General features: G+C 40.1%; 2 long non-coding RNA genes across 2 annotated transcripts; one reads left to right on the forward strand and one right to left on the reverse strand.

Annotated features, from left to right (window-relative positions):
* Positions 1 to 29: 29 nt before the first annotated feature.
* LOC105372006 (uncharacterized) lies at positions 30 to 16,946 on the reverse strand. Its single transcript, XR_935177.1, has 4 exons — positions 16,859 to 16,946; positions 8,790 to 8,991; positions 6,885 to 7,012; positions 30 to 137 (listed from the first exon to the last, which is right to left on the reverse strand). It is a non-coding gene; the product is annotated as an uncharacterized LOC105372006 (long non-coding RNA).
* LOC105372005 (uncharacterized) lies at positions 3,259 to 17,982 on the forward strand. The gene is made up of 4 exons (XR_935176.2): positions 3,259 to 3,341; positions 13,444 to 13,566; positions 14,218 to 14,398; positions 14,532 to 17,982. It is a non-coding gene; the product is annotated as an uncharacterized LOC105372005 (long non-coding RNA).
* The last annotated feature ends 86 nt before the right edge of the window (positions 17,983 to 18,068 follow it).

Below are 18,068 nucleotides of genomic sequence, written 5' to 3' on the forward strand. Positions count from 1 at the left end.
TGTATTCTTTAACCCATTGCTGCCTTATAAAAAAGATAATTAACCTACTGTTCCATTCTGGAAATTCCATCCATGTTGCCAGTAAACACAAAGTGATAGATCTGTTTATATTCATGTGGAAGTACCTGTAAGATAGACTACAAGAGAAAAGCTTGATGTAGAAGAGATAAATAATACTGTAATTCTTTAAAATTTTTGTTGTAAAATCATTTACAATTTGAAGCAATTTCAAGCTAACAGAAAGACCCCAGAAAGCATCCATGTAGATGGTGCAATAAACTTTTTCCTGTACTATTTGACAGTAAGTTGCCAGCACAATGCCCTATCTCTCAGCTACTTCCATGTGTAATTTTTACAAACAAGGACATTGGCCTGTGTAACCACAGTACAGTCAGCACAATAAGGAAAATCATCGTGTGCATGCACACATTTACATCTGTATTTGTCTGTGTACTTACACATGTTGAAGGCCAAAAGCTCATACCTGTATCTTCAGTTCTGTTCTTAACATCCAGAGCTTGGGTTGGTTTGTTTGTTTCTTTTCCTATTTACAATGCTTTCATAGAACCATGCCACCCAGATATTCTCGGCCTATTGATTTATTTCATCATTTACCCAGTATTTATCTTGTGTACTAGTGCCACCATTGAGCCTCCTGCTGCTGAGCCCATGTCCTTTACTCACATGGGACACTCTTTGGTGGGCTGTTACCACCTTGCCTGCCCCTCATCTGCCTCTGTCTGCCCAGGCCCTAGGCAACTTCTCCTGCTCCTCCTAAACCTTCTCATCTTGCTGTGTTTCCCGGGGCAATCACCTGCCACACTTAGCACCATCTAATGGCATCTGGAATGAATTGTTGGGGAGAGGGGAAGAGCTGTGATAATGTGTGTGTGTGCATGTATGTGAATGAGCTTTTATGTATGTAAATGTATTTTGGGAGAGCTGCAAGAAACCATAGAAGTATTATTATTTTTTGTTTTGTTTTGAAATGAAGTCTCACTTTGTTGCCCAGGCTAGAGTGCAGTGGTTTGATCTCAGCTCACTGCAACCTTCGTCTCCCAGGTTCAAGTGATTCTCCTGCCTCAGCCTCCTGAGTAGCTGGGATTACAGGTGAGTGCCACCATGCCCAGATAAGTTTTGTATTTTTAGTAGCGACTGGGTTTCACCATGTTGGCCAGGCTGGTCTTGTACTTCTGACCTCAAATGATCCACCTGCCTTGGCCTTCCTCCAAAAATTAGAACACTAAGGTGTCTAAGGAACAAATCTAGGTCATGGCTGCCACTGCACCCACTCTCATTTTGACTTTGGAGGTGGGATACTGTGTGCTTGGCACTGGCGGCTTTGGGGCATAGTGAAGCTGTCGGTAGTGTCAGAGACATTGTCAACCAGACACGTGTCTTGTTATTGGAGGGCCTTCATTCACCAGGCTGAATGAAGGTACCAAGGAGTGACCTTGATGGGATTAGGGTGCAGACAAGGAGACAAAAAGAAGGCACAGATCCCTTCCCCTTCTCTAGCCTATTGTCTCCACATAGTGTGTTCTTGTGGTAGAGACTCACGCAAAGCCAGTTGCTGTGCAGAGCTCAAGCTTCACCAGAAACCCAGAGGATGGGTTTGCAACTAAGAGACATCAGCTTTAATGGCTAGTCCTGGCTGCCCTCTGGCTACTCAGGAAATATACACACCCTTCCCTGCACATTTGACTTTCTGTACAACAACACAACTGTTCCATCCAACAGAGTGCAACTTCCTACAAAGAAATCAATTTTTACCATCTGCTCAAAATGAGGAGACGTAGTGTTCCAACAGCCACACCCATCTCTGGGAGACTGACTATCTAGTCATGAGGCGTATCACTTACTCTTCAAATTCAATCCTAACCTATTTGAGTAATCTCTAGTCTAATGGACAAATGGAAAAGAAACCTCCAATAAAACTTCTGTAAAATACTGCGCATAGAAGAAGGGAATAGTTAATATATGCAAATACATAATCTGCATACAAACACATTCATAGCAGGAAAGGAAGAAAATACGTACAGTTGCTACAGTCTACTTTTCTGCAACTTACAAGACTTTTTTTGGATTTAACCTTTTTAGTTCATACATTTGTAGGTTTTTATAGGGTAACTGTGATATTTGTTATATGTATCATCTGTGTCATGATGAAGTCAGAGTAGTTGGGGTGTCCATCACCTTGAGTATTTATGATTTCAAGTCCTCTCTTCTAACTAATTTGGAATGTACAATGCATTGTTGTTAACTATAGTCATTCTCATCTGCTGTCAATTGTCACAAAAATTTATTCCTTAGTTTACTACGCTTACATTAATGTTTTTAGTTTTTTTGTTGTTTTTTTTTGTTTTTTTTTTTGAGACAGTCTTGCTCTGTCGCCCCGGCTGGAGTGCAATGGTGCGATCTCGGCTTACCGCAAGCTCTGCCTTAGGGGTTCACGCCATTCTCCTGCCTCAGCCTCCCGAGTAGCTGGAACTACAGGTGCCCACCACCACACACAGCTACATTTTTGTATTTTTTGTAGAGACGGGGTTTCACCATGTTGGCCATGCTGGTCTTCAACTCCTGACCTCAGGTGATTTGCTTGCCTTGGCCTCCCAAAGTACTAGAATTGCAGGCATGAGCCACCACACCCAGCCTACATATTCAATAACAAAGATTTCATTTGCCTATTTTGACCTTCAAATGAGAGGAATTACCCAATATGCACTCTTCTGTATCTGGCCACAAAGGTGGCTTCAAATTACCTGTCCTAATTGTGGGCAAACCTTTATGCAGAAAGGTGTGCTTTGTCCTCTTGTCAATAGAAGAGATTTATGAGGAGGAAAAAAAAATCAATGTATCTCATTATTGAAATTGCCAAAAATTATACCATCTCTACTCTGGAATATTGAGTTATTAAAACTGATGTATATAACAGTGGTTTATAATAGTAGTTTTAATATTCAGTGAACATGGATTGTGACTAAATTTTCTTTAATTCTAAAGATAAGAATTTGCTGGAGAAAAAATTTGGCAGCAAATAATTGCAGAATATTAATAAATGGTTAAAACTTTGTCTCGGTTGGGACTATAGGTGATTCCTACACTCTGCTACCTGGTGAACTTTTGTCCTTTCAAAGACTTTTAAAGTCTTTATTTAAAATGGGTATTCATTGCTGTATTTATAGGGAGCATGGAGAGGATTTCCCTACACAGTTTAGCTGAAAGCCCTGACATGCAATCATATAATTTCATTTGCTTTTATAGTCATTTCCCTGGAAGTGGCAGCTGTGACAGTAAAGGAAGAATCAGAAGATCCTGATTATGATTATATCACATTCAAGGTAATAAGGGTGAATGCAATTTTTTAATAAAAAAAATTTGTGGTTAAAATTAAAGTTTATCAGTTGCTTTAACTTAAATAGTATTTTATTGATTAGTTCTTGATGGACATCTATATTTGTAAATAAGTCACTGGGATAAAACATTTTAAAAATGTGGATATAAGGTCAACTCACACAATTCAGGGGATATGTAAAATAGTCATTCATGTTTGTAAAAGTATAAGCACAAGTTGTGGCACAATTTAGAATTCAATCCCAGTTTCTAGTGTTGCAAAATAAACCTATTAGGCAAATGCAGATATAGTCAGCTTAATTTTTTATCTATGTGTAATTGTAATAAATTAAACATTTGAAGTATAAAATCCAGTTTTGGCATGTACATACCTAATAAACCATCTTCATTGCAACCGAGATAATGAAATATCCATACCCCCGAAAGTTTTCTCATGTCGCCTTGTAATTCATGACCCTGCCCAGTATTCAGGCAACATGCTGATTTTCCATTTTAGCTTAATTTGCATTTTCTAGAAAGTCATATATATGATATCATATGATATGATTAAATGTGGACTATTTTCATGGGGTAGGGACTATTGTGACTTCTTTACTTCACATGATTGTTTTGAAATTCATCCACAATGTTGCATGTATCAGTAGGAGATTCTATTTTGTTGTTGATTAATATGCTGTTGTATACATGGGTCAAAATTTGCTCATTCCTTTGTTTGTTGATAGCCATTTGGGTTCTTCCAGTTTGGGGTTGGGGCTACTGCAGGTAGAGCTACTATGAATGTTTGTGTACAAGTTTTTGTGTGGACATAGGCCTTCATTTCTCTTGAGTAGATATCTGGGAATGGAATAGCTGGGATCTATAACTTTTGAAGGAAATGCCAAACTGTTTTCCAAGGCACCTGCATTATTTTACATCTCCATCAGCAGGGTATGAGAGTTTTGGTTGACATTCTTGTGAATACTTGTATGGTCAATCTTATTTTTACCCTCTTAAGTTGATATGCAGTGGTTCCTCATTGTAGTTTTAATTTGCAATTGCCTAACAGGTTTATTTTCTCTCAGAGGATAGCTTTATCAGGTCTAGAGAACTCTGAAAGTGTTTTGAGTAAACCTTCTGGCTCGTAATTATGTGAATATGTGTATACACATGTTAGGCCGTGTCCAAGTGAATTGCATGTTTTTAGCAGTCAGTTTTCAGTAATTGTCTGCTTGTGACAATAGGAATTAGTTACATTCTTTTTTTTAATAAGTTGGTAAAATATGCCAGTGAAACCATCTGGGCCTTGAGGTTTCTCTCATAGAAAGTTTCCTAACTCCCTTTGTTACAAAAATTACCCTCATCTGGGTTTGCACCCTGTTGTCCCAGCCACTCTCAAACCTGAGGTGGGAGAATCACTTGAGCCTGGGAGTTCTAGGCCAACCTGGGCAACATAGTGAGATTCCATCTCTTGGGAGGCTGAGGTGGGTGGATCATCTGAGGTCAGGAGTTAAGACCAGCCTGGCCAACATGGTGAAACCCCGTCTCTACTAAAAATGCAAAAACAAAACAAAACAAAACAAAACAAAACAAAAACCCAGCATGGTGGCAGACACCTGTAATCCCAGCTACTCGGGAGACTGAGGCAGGAGAATCACTTGAACCTGGGAGGCGGAGGTTACAGTGAGCCAAGATCTTGTCATGTCACTCCAGCCCAGGCAACAAGAGCAAAACTGTCTTAAAAAAATGCTTTTAATCGATACAGGGCTATCAGTTTTCTCTTCTGTGAATCTTGTAATGAATCTCAAAATGGATATACAACACATTTTCCTATTTAAGGTAAAGTACACATTTATACCTTAGAATAGTCAGAAGTCAGTTTCTTATTGTATAATTAGTAATGAAAATATTGATAAGGTCATGTTCATACTTAGTACTGATAAGAATTCTGAAATATTCATTTGTCCATCTGTAAGTTTTATGAATTGATTACCTTTTTTGGAATTTTTCATAGTGTTCCCAAACTTGATACTCATAGGCTATTTGTAACAGGTTTTACTTTGATCTACTCTGGTTTTTAGAACATGAAATGGATTTTCTTTAGGTCTAGCATATAACCATACATTCAATTGTTTCAGATTTTAAAACAACAAAAAGGACCTATAGAATCATTGCTTAATTTGAAACTAGCCCGGTCGTCCCATAGACGATAAACGTAGAAATTTAACCCTGCTGTTAAAGCTTGAAACTATACTTATCTGCCTTCCCTCCTCAAAAAAACATCTTCAGAAAGTATCAAAGATCTGAAATTCACCATATCACAGTACCCAGATGCTTCCTTGCTCCTCCCTATTTCCTGTTTTCTTATACATTGTTGCATTTCTTCCTGCCAAATAGACTCCTAGTTTTAGTCAGTGAAGGAGATGGATTTGAGACTGAGCTTCCCTCTCCTTGGCTGCAGCACCGGGTTACAGCCTTCTTCCTTAGCAATACTTGTCATTGGGTTTCTGTGCAGTGAGCAGCAGGACCTAGACCAAACCTCTTTTGTTTCAATAACGACATGAACAACCATCTTAACTGTTCTTCTTTAGTGAAAAATTTTACTTTTTAACTCCTGGCCCATTTTTCACTGTCTCTCCTTTCTTTGACCTCACATCTCTTTTTGCTTTTTGATTTTACAGTCAAGAACTTAATGCTCCATAAATTCAAATTTTACGGTTAAAAAAAGAGGAATAACTAATTTACACTCCCAGAAAATGTGGCACATATACACCATGGAATACTATGCAGCCATAAAAAGGATGAGCTCATGTCCTTTGCAGGATGAAGCTGGAAACCATCATTCTCAGCAAATTAACACAAGAACAGGAAACCAAACGCTGCATGTTCTCACACATAGGTGGGAGTTGAACAATGAGAACACATGGACACAGGGAGGGAAACATCACACACTGGGGCCTGTGTGAGGTGGGAGGCTACGGGAGGGATAACATTAGGAGAAATACCTAATGTAGATGACAGGTTGATGGGTGCAGCAAACCACCATGGCACGTGTATACCTGTGAAAGAAACATGCATGTTCTGCACGTGTATCCCTTAAAAAAAAAATCTCCTAACTCAGAGGATTGCTTTGAGGATTAAATAAGATAATGCACATAAAAAAGGGAAAGAAAGTGTGTGTAGAGAAAGTGTATTTTTTATTGAATTAAAGGTTGATTCATAGGTATAGGTTTATAGATTTACCTAGAGGTTTGAGTTCATGTGCATTTTTACAATATAAGTGGAAAAGAATCTGAAGGTTATTGTGACATGATAAAGCTGGATATTGAAAACCAAAAAGATTTGGCCTCAGTATGGCATTAGTCGCTGAATGACAGTTTTTCAGACTATAATCGTTGCTCTTTAAAAATTAAGAGAAAATATAACATTTGTATTACTTTTATTACAATTTCTGAATTTAGTTATCAGTAGATAAGACAAAATAGATAAGCATCTGCTTCCCTTCCCCCTAAGTGATGCATTCTTACTCAGATCTAATGTATGTTTATTCATACCTGAAGGCAGTGTTTTTCAATCTTTTCCATGTTCGTAGCTCAGGTCTTTAAGGACAGAGGATGCATATTGGGGGCAGCTTGCGTTCTTAATCCTAAGTGGCTCTCTGATGTCTTAGGTTCTTTCTTTCCTATTTGTGAGGATTAAGGAGATAATGTATGCAAAAGGCATGTTACTATTATTATTGGTTGTATTAATAATCTGCTTTCTAATGTGAAAATCTCCTTTGTATTAAATAACCCTGGCAGATGATCCTTGACCCTTATGTAGAAAAGTACTCATTGTCTAGTGAAAAAATTTACTGCCCGTTCCTAGCTGTGAGACTTTGAGAAAGATACTTGGCCTTGAATGACTCACAGACTTTCATGAAGCTTAGTCAGATAATGGCTATAATGTATCCAGCACAGCATTTGATAGGTAATATATACCATTCCATTTCTCTTTGGTTTTTAGAAAGGATTGATTTAAAATGTGTAAAATTCAGTGGCATTTAGTTACATTCACAAGGATTACAACCATCATGACTATGTATTTCCAGAATTTTCCATCATCCCAAACAAATTCTGTACCAAATAAGCAATAACTTTCCATTCTCTCCTCCCTGATACCCTGGTAACTTCTTAATCTAATTTTTGTTTCTATGAATTTCCTTATTTGGGTACCTCATATAAAAGGAATTATGCAATACTTGCCCTTTTATGTGTGGCTTATTTCACTTAGCCTAATGTTTTCAAGGTTCAGCCAGGTTGTAACAATATATCTGATAGCATTGATCAGAACTTCATTCTTTTTCGTGGTTGAATAATATTCCATTGCATGTATATGTCACATTTTGTTTATCCCTTCATCTATGGATGGACACCTGGGGTTTGTCCACCTTTTGGTTATTGTGATTAACGCTGCAGTAAATACTGTCCTTGGACTTTCCTTTCTTCTCTTGTCCCGAGCCAACATCAACACTTGCACATCAGCACTCGGCATGTTTCTGAGTTCATTTTTTCAATTCTTTTGGTTATACACCTGGGAGTGGAATTGCTTAGTCATACGGCAATTCTGTGTTTAACTTTTTGAGGAACTTACAGACTTTTTCACAGTGACTGTACCATTTTACATTCCTAGAGAGAATATTCAAGGGTTCTAATCTCTTCACTTCTTCACCAGTGCTTGTTATCTTTTCATTATTATTATAGCCATTCTAGTAGGTGTGATGTGATATCTCATTTTAGGACTGATTTTCTTTCCCTAATAACTAGTGATTTTGAATATCTTATGTGCTTATTGGCCATTTCTATATCTTTGGTGGAATTACTATTCAAGTCTTTTTTTTTTTTTTGACAGAGTCTTGCTCTGCCACCTGGCTGGAGTGCAGTGGTGTGATCTCTGCTCACTGCAGCCTCCGCCTCCTGGGTTCAAGTGATTCTCATGCCTCAGCCTCCTGAGGAGCTGGGACTACAGGTGCGTGCCACCATGCCCAGCTAATTTTTGTATTTTTCATAGAGACAGGGTTTCCCCATGTTGGCCAAGATGGCCTCGATCTCTTGACTTTGTGATCCGCCTGCCTCGGCCTCCCAAAGTGCTGGAATTACAGGTGTGAGCCACCATGCCTGGCCTACTATTCAAGTCTTTTGCCTATTTAAAAGTTTAAACGATAAACTCTGGTCAGCTATATGATTTGTAAATATTTTATCCCATTCTGCAGAGTGTCTGTTCTCTTTCTTTTTAGAGACAGACTCTTGCTGTGCTGTTCAGGTTGGAAGTGCAGTGGCACAATCATAGCTTACTGTAATCTCAAGCTCCTGAGCTCAAACAGTCCTCCCATCTCAGCCTCCTGAGTCACTGGACTTACAGGCGCACACTACCCTGCATGGCTTAATTTTGTTTGTTTGTTTTTGTAGAGACAGAGCTACCTCTTTCTTCATAGGTAGGAGAGTGTTCCATAGTAAAGATTCCCTGGTGATGGATGGATCCAGCTCCCTGTTGAGTCCGGCAAATATTTGAGAGCGGTTGTCATATTGTGTTCTTTCTTCCAGTCCAAAGTCCTCCCAGTTCCTTTAGTCCAAAGGTCAACACATTAAAGGGCCAGTTGCTAAATATTTTAGGCTTCAAAGGCTAAGAGACAAAACCAAGAATGGCATGTAGGTATAACAAGAGAGAAAACAAATTTCCACAAAATTTTAATGAATGAAATTCAAAATATAAATGAGTACAACTTTTTGTAATATAGCTCCATTAAGGAGAAGAATTGGGTTGTTTTGTAGGGGATGGGGTAGGAAGTAGGGGGTAGGGTGATCCACAAGAGGATCTTGTGCTAGAAACCTAGGACTAAGACCAAATATTGAAACAAAAGATGCTCCTATCACCTCTATCACTGAGGACTTTATAAGAGCTTTAGAAGCTCTGTGCCAGGACCAGGGGCGGAGACCAAATGTGTCTTTCTCTTCTTTTGTTTTCTATTTTTGAGACAGTGTCTCACTCTGTGACCCAGGCTGGAGTGCAGTGATGTGATCATAGCTCACTGCAGCCTCAACCTGGGCTCAAGCAATCCTCCCGCCTTAGCCTCCTGAGTAGCCAGGACTACAGGTGCATGCCACCTACGCCCAGATAATTTTTTTTATTTTTTATAAAAATGCCATCTTTTTATGTTGCCTAGACCGGTCTCAAACTCCTGGGCTAAAGCAATTCTCTTATCTCAGCCTCTCATGTAGCTTGGACTACTGGTGTGCATCACAACGACTGGCTAATATTCATTATTACTACTATGTCTGTAGAGGTGGAGTCTCACTATGTTGCCGCTGGTCTTGAACCCCAGGCCTCAAGCAATCCTCCCACCTTGGCATCCCAGGGTGTTGGGATTACAGGTGTGAGCTACCATGCCAAGCAATCACAAGGGTCTTTATAATAGCAAGAGGGAGGTAGAAGAGTCAGAATTGGACGAGATGTGATGATGGAAGCAGAGGTGAGAGAGGCATATTTGAAGATGCTCCACTTCTTGCTTTGAAGACGGAGTTAGGAGCCATGAGCCAAGGAATGTGGGTGGCTTCATGAAGCTGGAAAAGGCAAGGGAACACATTCTCTCTAGGCCCTCCAGGAGAATGCAGCCCTACTGACCCCTTGACTTTAGCCTTGATATGCCTATTTTGGATTTCTGAGCTTCAGAACTGTCAGATAGTAGACTTGTGGTGTTTTAAACCACTCAATGTAGGGTAGTGTGTAAAAGAAGCAAGAAGAAATGAACACAAAGCCAGGCACAGTGACTCATGCCTGTGATCCCAGCATTTTAGGAGGCTGAAGTGGGAGGATGAGTTGAGCCCAGGAGTTCAAAACCAGTCTGCACAACATAGTGAGACCCTGTCTACAAAAAAACCAGTCTTGGTAGCACACACCTGTAGCTTTAGCTAGTAAGGAGACTGAAGCAGGAGGATTGCTTGAGCATATGAGTTCAAAGTTGCAGTGAGCTGTGATTGTGCCACTGCACTCTAGCCTGGGTGACAGAGGGAGGTCTTGTCTCAAAAAAAAAAAAAAGAACAAATGAGTGAGCATGGTGGGAGTGGGGACAGATGGCAATATTAAATAGAGTGTTCAGGGTTGTCCTCATAAGTGAAAATTGAGCAAAGGCTTCAAGGAGGGAAAGGAGCTGTCCAAGGTGCTTAGGGAAGAGCATTGCAGGCAGAAGCAACAGAGAGAAGATGTTAGGAGGGAACTCCTTGGTGTGTCTAAGGCTCAGGATGGAGTCTGGTGCAGCAGAGAGAGGGAGGAAGAGAAGCAAGGGAGGAGGCCAGGGAGTAGCTGGGCTGAGATCAGTACAGATTGTGTAAGCCCTGGGAGGTTATTGCTGGGGCTTTGACTTTTACTCTGACTGAGATGGGAACTACGGGAAGGTTCTGAGCAGCCAAGTGACATCATCTGTCTCCCTATTTAAAAGCACCCCTGGCTGCTGAGTTGGGAAAGACTATAGGAAGATTTTGGTAGAAGCAGGGAGGCCGAGCTGTTACCACATCCAGGTGGGAGATGATAGTGGTCCTGACCAGGGTCATGGTGGCGGTGAGAGATGGTCAGAGCCTGGAGACATGTTGAAGACTGTCAACAGGATCCTGACAGACTGGACATGGGGTGTGAGAGAAGGCAGGGGTCAAGGCTGAGTTTGATTCAAATTGAATTATTAAGTAATTAAAAAAACCCACTGCTGCCTTTCCCAATCCTACTAAGTAAAGGATGCTAGATTAAAGAAATCTCAGGTCAGGCCGGTGCAGTGGCTCACACCTGTAGTTCTAACAGTTTGAGAGGCAGAGATGGGAGTATCTTTTAAGGCCAAGAGTTAGAGAGCAGCCTGGGCAATAATAGCAAGACCTCCTCTCTACAAAAGTAGAAGAAAGAAATTTAGGAAAATAAATATAGCCAGGCATGGTTGTGTATTCCTGTGGTTCCAGTTACTCTGGAGGCTGAGGTGGGCAGATCTCTTGAGGCTAGGAGTTTGCAGTCAGCTTGGGCAACATAGCAAGACTTCTTTCTCCACAAAAATTAAAAAAAAAAAAAAAGCCTGGCATGGTGGAACCTGCCTGCATTCCCAGGTATTAGGGAGGCTGAGGCAGAAGGATCTCTTGAGGCCAGTTGGTCAAGGCTGCAGTGAGCTATGATTACACCACTGTACTCCAGCCTGGGTGACAGAGTGGAACCCCGTCTCAAAATACAAATCCAAATAAAATGAAATCTCAAGTTGGACCAGTCCCATCTAGGCTATGCAGGCCTTTCAACTGCATAGCCACATGATCGGGTTTGTGTGGCTGTGGATGAGGAGACCCCTGCCCAATTGTTGTTGACTGTACAATCGGTTTATTTTTAAATATAGTAATCAAATATATTTCATCATACTTGATGGTCTCAGATATGTGTGGGTTTTGGAATTCTCCTTGGAACAAATTTTAACATCTTATTTGTTCCATCATTTCATAATTTTTTTATCTGATCAATTTTTTTTTTTGAGACAGAGTCTCACTTTGTCACCCAGGCTGGAGTACAATGGCACAATCTCGGCTCACTGCAACCTCCACCTGCCAGGTTCATGCGATTCACCTGCATCAGCCTCCTGAGTAGCTGGGATTATAAGCACACGCCACCACTCCAGGCTACTTCTTTGTGTTTTTGGTAGAGACGGGTTTTTACCATGTTGGCCAGGCTAGTCTGGATTTACAAGTAGATTTACAAGAATCCACCACCATGCCCGGGTAATTTTTGTAATTTTTAGTAGAGAAAGGGTTTCACCATGTTGGCCAGGCTGTTCTCGAACTCCTGACCTCAGATGATTCGCCTGCCTCGGCTTCCCAAAATGCTGAGATTACAAGCATGAGCCACCACGCCCAGCCCTTTTCTTTCCCTTTTATAGACAGAGTCTTGCTCTGTCGCCCAGGCTGCAGTATAGTGACATGATCATGGCTTATTGCAGCCTCAAACTCCTAGTCTCAAGCAATCCTCCTACCTCAGTCTCCCAAACAGCTGGGAATACAGACGTGTGCCACCATGCCCAGCTAAATTTTTTTTTTGTTTTTTATTGTAGAGGCACGATTTTGCTAGGTTGCTCAGGCTGGTCTCAAACTCCTGACCTCAAGTGATCCTCCTGCCTCACCCTCCCATGGTGCTGAGATTACAGGCAGGTATGACTACCTGTGCCCAGCTCCTTATTATTATTATTTTAAATAACAGCTTTATTAAAATGTAATTCACATATCATTCAATTTATTTGCTGAAATCTGCAGTTCAGTGGGTTTTAGAATATTCACAGAGCTGTGCACTGATCACCACAGTCACTCTTAGAACCTTTCCTTACCCTGTAGAGAAATCCGCACCCCTTAGCCACTGCCTCCTACTCCCCCCACCTGCCTTTGCCCCCAGCCTCAGACAACCATTGATTGATTTTTCTGTCACTGTAGATTTGCCTAATCTGGACAAATAGAATTGTACAATATGTGTTCTTTTGTGGCTGGCTTGCTTTCCTTCTTAGTACAATGTCTTCAAAGTTCCTTTATGTTGTAGCGTGTATCAGTATTTCATTCCTTCTGTGGCTGAATAATATTCCATGGTAGAAACACACTGCGTTTTGTTTATCCATTCATCAGTTGGTGCACATTTGGGTTGTTTTCATGTATTGGCCATTATGAATAATGCTGCTATGAAGGTTCCTATACAAGTTTTTGTATGGACATATATATTTTTTTTCCTCTGGGATATATGCCTAGGAGTTAAATTGTTGCATTATGTGATGACTGCACATTTAGGCTCTTGAGAAACTGCCAGACATTTTCTAAAGTGGTTAGATCAGTTGGGTGTGATGGTTCACACCTGTAATCCCAGCTACTTAGGAGGCTCAGTTGGGAGGATGACTTGAGCCCACAAGTTCAAGACTAGCCTAGGCAAGATAGCGAGACCCTGTCTTGATTCCAAAAAAAATCCAATTAAAATGATAAGAAAAGAAATTCCTAAAGTAGTTATGGCACTTTATGTTCCCACCAGTAATGTGTGTGGGTCCAATTCCTCTGCATCTTCACTGACGTTATTTTTTTTTTCTAGACAGGGGCCTGCTGTGTCTCTCAGGCTGGAGGGCAGTGATGTCATTACAGTTCACTGCAGCCTTGAACTCCCAGGCACAAGTGATCCTCTCATCTCAGCCTCCCGAGTAGCTGGGAATTACAGGTACACAGCACCATGACTGGCTAATTTTTATATATTTTTTTTGTAGTGATGGGGTTTGACCATGTTGCCCAGTCTGGTCTCATACTCCTGGCCTCAATGATCTGGCCACCTTAGCCTCCCAAAGTTCTGGAATTACAAGCTGAGGCCCCGTGCCTGGCCTTCACCAACATTTGTTATTATCTGTGTTTTTTTTCCTTTTATACCTTAAAGCAGTATAAGAACAAGTGTCTTCAATGATAGTAAACAAAAAATATAATCCCAGGGCATTGGAAGCTGAGGTGGGAGGATCTGTTGATGCCAGGAGTTTTAGACCAGCCTAGGCAACCTAGCAAAACCTCATCTCTACAGAATATTTAAAAATTAGCTGAATGTGCTGGTGCCTGCCTATAGTTTCTCTCTCTCTCTCTCTCTCTCTCTCTCTCTCTCTCTCTCTCTAACTTTTTGAGGCATGGTCTGGCTCTGTCACACAGGCCAGAGTTCAGTGGTGTGATCATGGATCACTGCAGCCTGAAACTCCTGGGTTGATCAAGTGATCAGTCCTCTCACCTCATCCTACCAAGTAGTGGGGACCACAGGTGCATGCCACCCGGGTCTTGCTATGTTTCCCAGGCTGGTCTTGAACTCTTGGCCTCACGTGATCCTCTCCCCTAGGCCTCCTAAAGTGCAAGAATTACAAGTATGAGCCACTATGCCTGGCCCCCACCCTGCCTATTGAGAACCAAAAGAAGGAACCAAATTCTCCGTAGCTCAACTCGAGCCATTTCCTGATTTCTTCATCAGGAATGAGCTGGTTATTGGGCTGTCCAGGCCTCTCAAGCAGCACAGAAATGAGGTGAGTGTGTTTTCCTGCTGCTCCACTCTGCGGAGAATTAGAGGATGTTTACTCATTTTCAGAGAGAGATGCCTTGTAGGCACCTTAGGATGGAGGAAGCCCTGATTCCAATGTCCTTTTTTTTTTTCTTCAGAAACAGGATCTTGCTCTCTCACCCTGGATGGAGTTCAGTGGTGCAATCACAGCTCATTGTAGCCTCAACCCCCCAGGCTAGCAATCCTACCACGGCCTTTCGAGTAGCTGTGACTACAGGTGAGCGCCATGACACTCAGTGAATTTTCAATTTTTCGGTAGAGGTGGGGCCCGGCTGTGTTGCCAGGGCTGGCCTTGAACTCCTGCACTCAAGGGATTTTCCTGCCTAGGGCTTCCAAAGTATTGATATTACAAGCATGAGCCACTGTGCTCACTCTGTCTGGTTCTTAACTTCCTGCCTCCCTCTTCCATATTTAAAGAACCCTTGTAATTACATGGGCTCACCCAGATACTACAGGATAATCTTGTTTCAAGGACAGCTGATTAGTAACATTAATTCCATCTGCACTCTTAATATCCCCCTTCCTCTGAAACTGTGCTGTGTAACCTAGGACGTGAGCAATTGGTAGGGGGCATTACTTTGGCCACCACAGTGACCAAAAGGATTGGTGGGGGACAGGTTAAAGATACAGGGAAGTTGGAGGAACAACTGACAAGTGAGGTTCCAGAGAGGGCAGGTGAAGAGGAGATTCCAGCAGGGAAATTAGATTATCACTTTCTTTTTCTTTTTTTTCTAAGACAGGGTCTCACTCTGTCACCCCTGCTGGAGTGCAGTGGCATGATCTTGGCTCACCACAGCCTAGACTTCCCAGGCTCAAGGGATCCTCCCACCCCAGACTCCCAAGTAGCTGGAACTACAGTTCTGCACCACCACCATTCCTGGCTGTTTTTTTTTTTTTTTCTTTTGTTAGTAGACACAGGGTCACACCATGTTCCCCAGGCTGGTCTCTAACTCCTGGTCTCCAACTCCTGGTCTCAAGTGATCCTCCTGGTTCGTCTTCCAAAATTGCTGGGATTATAGGCCTGGGTCACCATGCCTGGTCTCTGCTAGTTGTATATTTTATTTTATTTTAAGTTCAGGGATACAAGTGCAGATTTGTTACATAGGCAAGCTTGTGTCATGGAGGTTCATTGTACAGATTATTTCATCACCCAGGTATTAAGCCTGATACCCATTAGTTATTTTTTCCTGATCCTCTCTCTCCTCCCACCCTCCTAGGTCTCTGTGTGTCTATACATTCTCATCATTTAGCACCCACTTATAAATGAGAATGAGAACATGTGGTATTTGCTTTTCTGTTCTTGTGTTAGTTTGTTAAGGATAATGGTCTTTTCAGAAATCTGTAACGATACTTACTAAAATGCAAGTGATATATAAGTGAACTATGATAGGAAGCTAATTGGCACATTTCACCATTTCATCTCACCAACTTGTTATGCTAAAGACCTTTGAAAAGTGTTACATAAAATTTCAGCATTTTTAAAAAGTTAAATTGTAGATTTAAATTCAAAATTATTAACTTCATTTCAAAATTTGCTTCACTGATCTATCACAAAGGAGATAAAAATATATTGTTAATATTGCTATACTCAAAATAGGTTATGATAGCTTGTTTTTTAAAAGAATATGCATTCATCAAGCAACTGGAGATGTAATGCCTGCAATCAGCATTCAGCAGAGGAAAGAGACATTTTGTTTTTTTTAAAAAACTATTTGTATATTAAGTACAGGAAGTCCTTGCTTGATGTTGTTGATAAATGCTTGGCAACTGTGACTTTAAGCAACATTACATACGGAAAGTCTTTGAGTAACATCATTTTCTTCAAAATTGTTTGGTTATGCCATTGATAAGAAAAAAATTGGTTTTGTTATATGTCATTTTGAATAGATATTTAGAATTTCAATGTATTTTCCTATACAAAACTATTATATTTGGTAAATTAATTAGACCATCCTCTTTGCGAATAAAATATTTACCAATTGTGAAGGGAAGAAAGGATAGTGATTTATGGAGAGACAAGGAAGGTTGAAATACATGCTGAATAAAAGAAATGTTTAACTATATGGCACTGGAAACAAACAATTTGAGTTTGAAGGACATATTTTCTCTCAAGGATTATATAATATGAGAAATTAATCAGAAATTGAAGCAATGAATTCAACCAATTACGAAAATTAGTAGAATGGTATGAAGTATAAATGAAGAAAATGAATTTTAAAGTATAGAAAATTTGGAACCATGGTGTATGTCCCACTTAACAACCAGCATAATAAAAATTTGATTGTGCAAAAAGTGATTATTAAATTTACTAATAGAATTTGATGAGGGTAGATATTGAATGCTAGGAGATGGGTAACAGAAAGTTTCAATAAGGCATTTTCTAATAATTTCATAAACTTCTTAACTTTCAATAGCTACTTGCTACCTCCAGTTTATTGGTGGATCTCCTGTCATTGGGCTTCATTAAAATAAAAACAAATCTGTGGCATTTATGTCAAGTCAAAAGAATCTATGCATTCAGAGTTGTGGCAGGAACTGCATATGAATAAAGGAGTCCCTTTACTACATTCTAAGGAAGAATTTGTATGTTCTATTACAGACAATGCTTTGTTCTCAGCCATGTCTGTCCTGATATGGCTATCCAGATAGACTTATCTTCCAATTCCTCTGACTCCGCAAATCTTTTTTTGTGTCCTCTGGAATTCATGGCCAGTCAGCAGCATAATTCTGTATAATCTCAATATATTTATTTTATTTGAATGTTGCCCTAATAGGAGATTGTGTTGAAGACACAGCTTGTTCAGCAGCTCATATCATTCACATCTCCCTATGCTTTCCTTCAATCTAATGTGAGTTCATTTTTTAGCACTGCAGGTCCAAAATGTTGAATAGATAGTTCGACTTTCAAGATTTTTAGATGCCTTCTTCCGCCCCTTTCAATTGGCAAATGCATCATAGCAAAAATCTGAACAGAACATCTAATTTATGTTCGTGTGCTTCCCTTCTTTCTGGAGTCTTGCATCCTCAAGTCTCTGCTGCTTGGTAGCTCTCAGGTGCCCTCTAACACATTATCTTTCATATTTTACCCAGCCTTACTAATTAGTCTAGCAAGAGGGATGGTCATATTCAAGTTCATGTACTATAGCTAGAAGTAAATATCCTTGTGTTAGCTATTAAGATTTGACGAGGCATGAGAAATAAAGATGCAAAATTGTCCTCATTTACAGATGATATGATTCAACACTTTCAGTATACAGGAGCCAAGACTGAAAAAAATGACTTAAAACATGATGATAAATTATTATGATAGGTGAATAAAAAACAAAAATAAATCGTTTGTAATGTATACATTATATAATTAGAAAACACCCTATTTTGCAAAGCAAAAAACTTGAAACAGACCTCACAATGTGTACGATTTTTAAAGGGAAAAATTATATACTATTGGAAGATTTAAAGTAAGTTGTTAACAAATAGTAAGCATGTAATGTCTTGTAATAAAAACACAACACCATAATGATGACAATTCTGTCAATATTAATATATAAATTTAAAAGAACAGTAAAATAGAAATGTTTTCTGCAATCACTGTGAAGTCAAGCCCAAATTTTATGTAGAAAGATAAAACAACCAGA

The sequence above is a fragment of the Homo sapiens genome, chromosome 18 (assembly GCF_000001405.40).
Source record: "Homo sapiens chromosome 18, GRCh38.p14 Primary Assembly".
Lineage (NCBI taxonomy): Eukaryota > Metazoa > Chordata > Mammalia > Primates > Hominidae > Homo > Homo sapiens.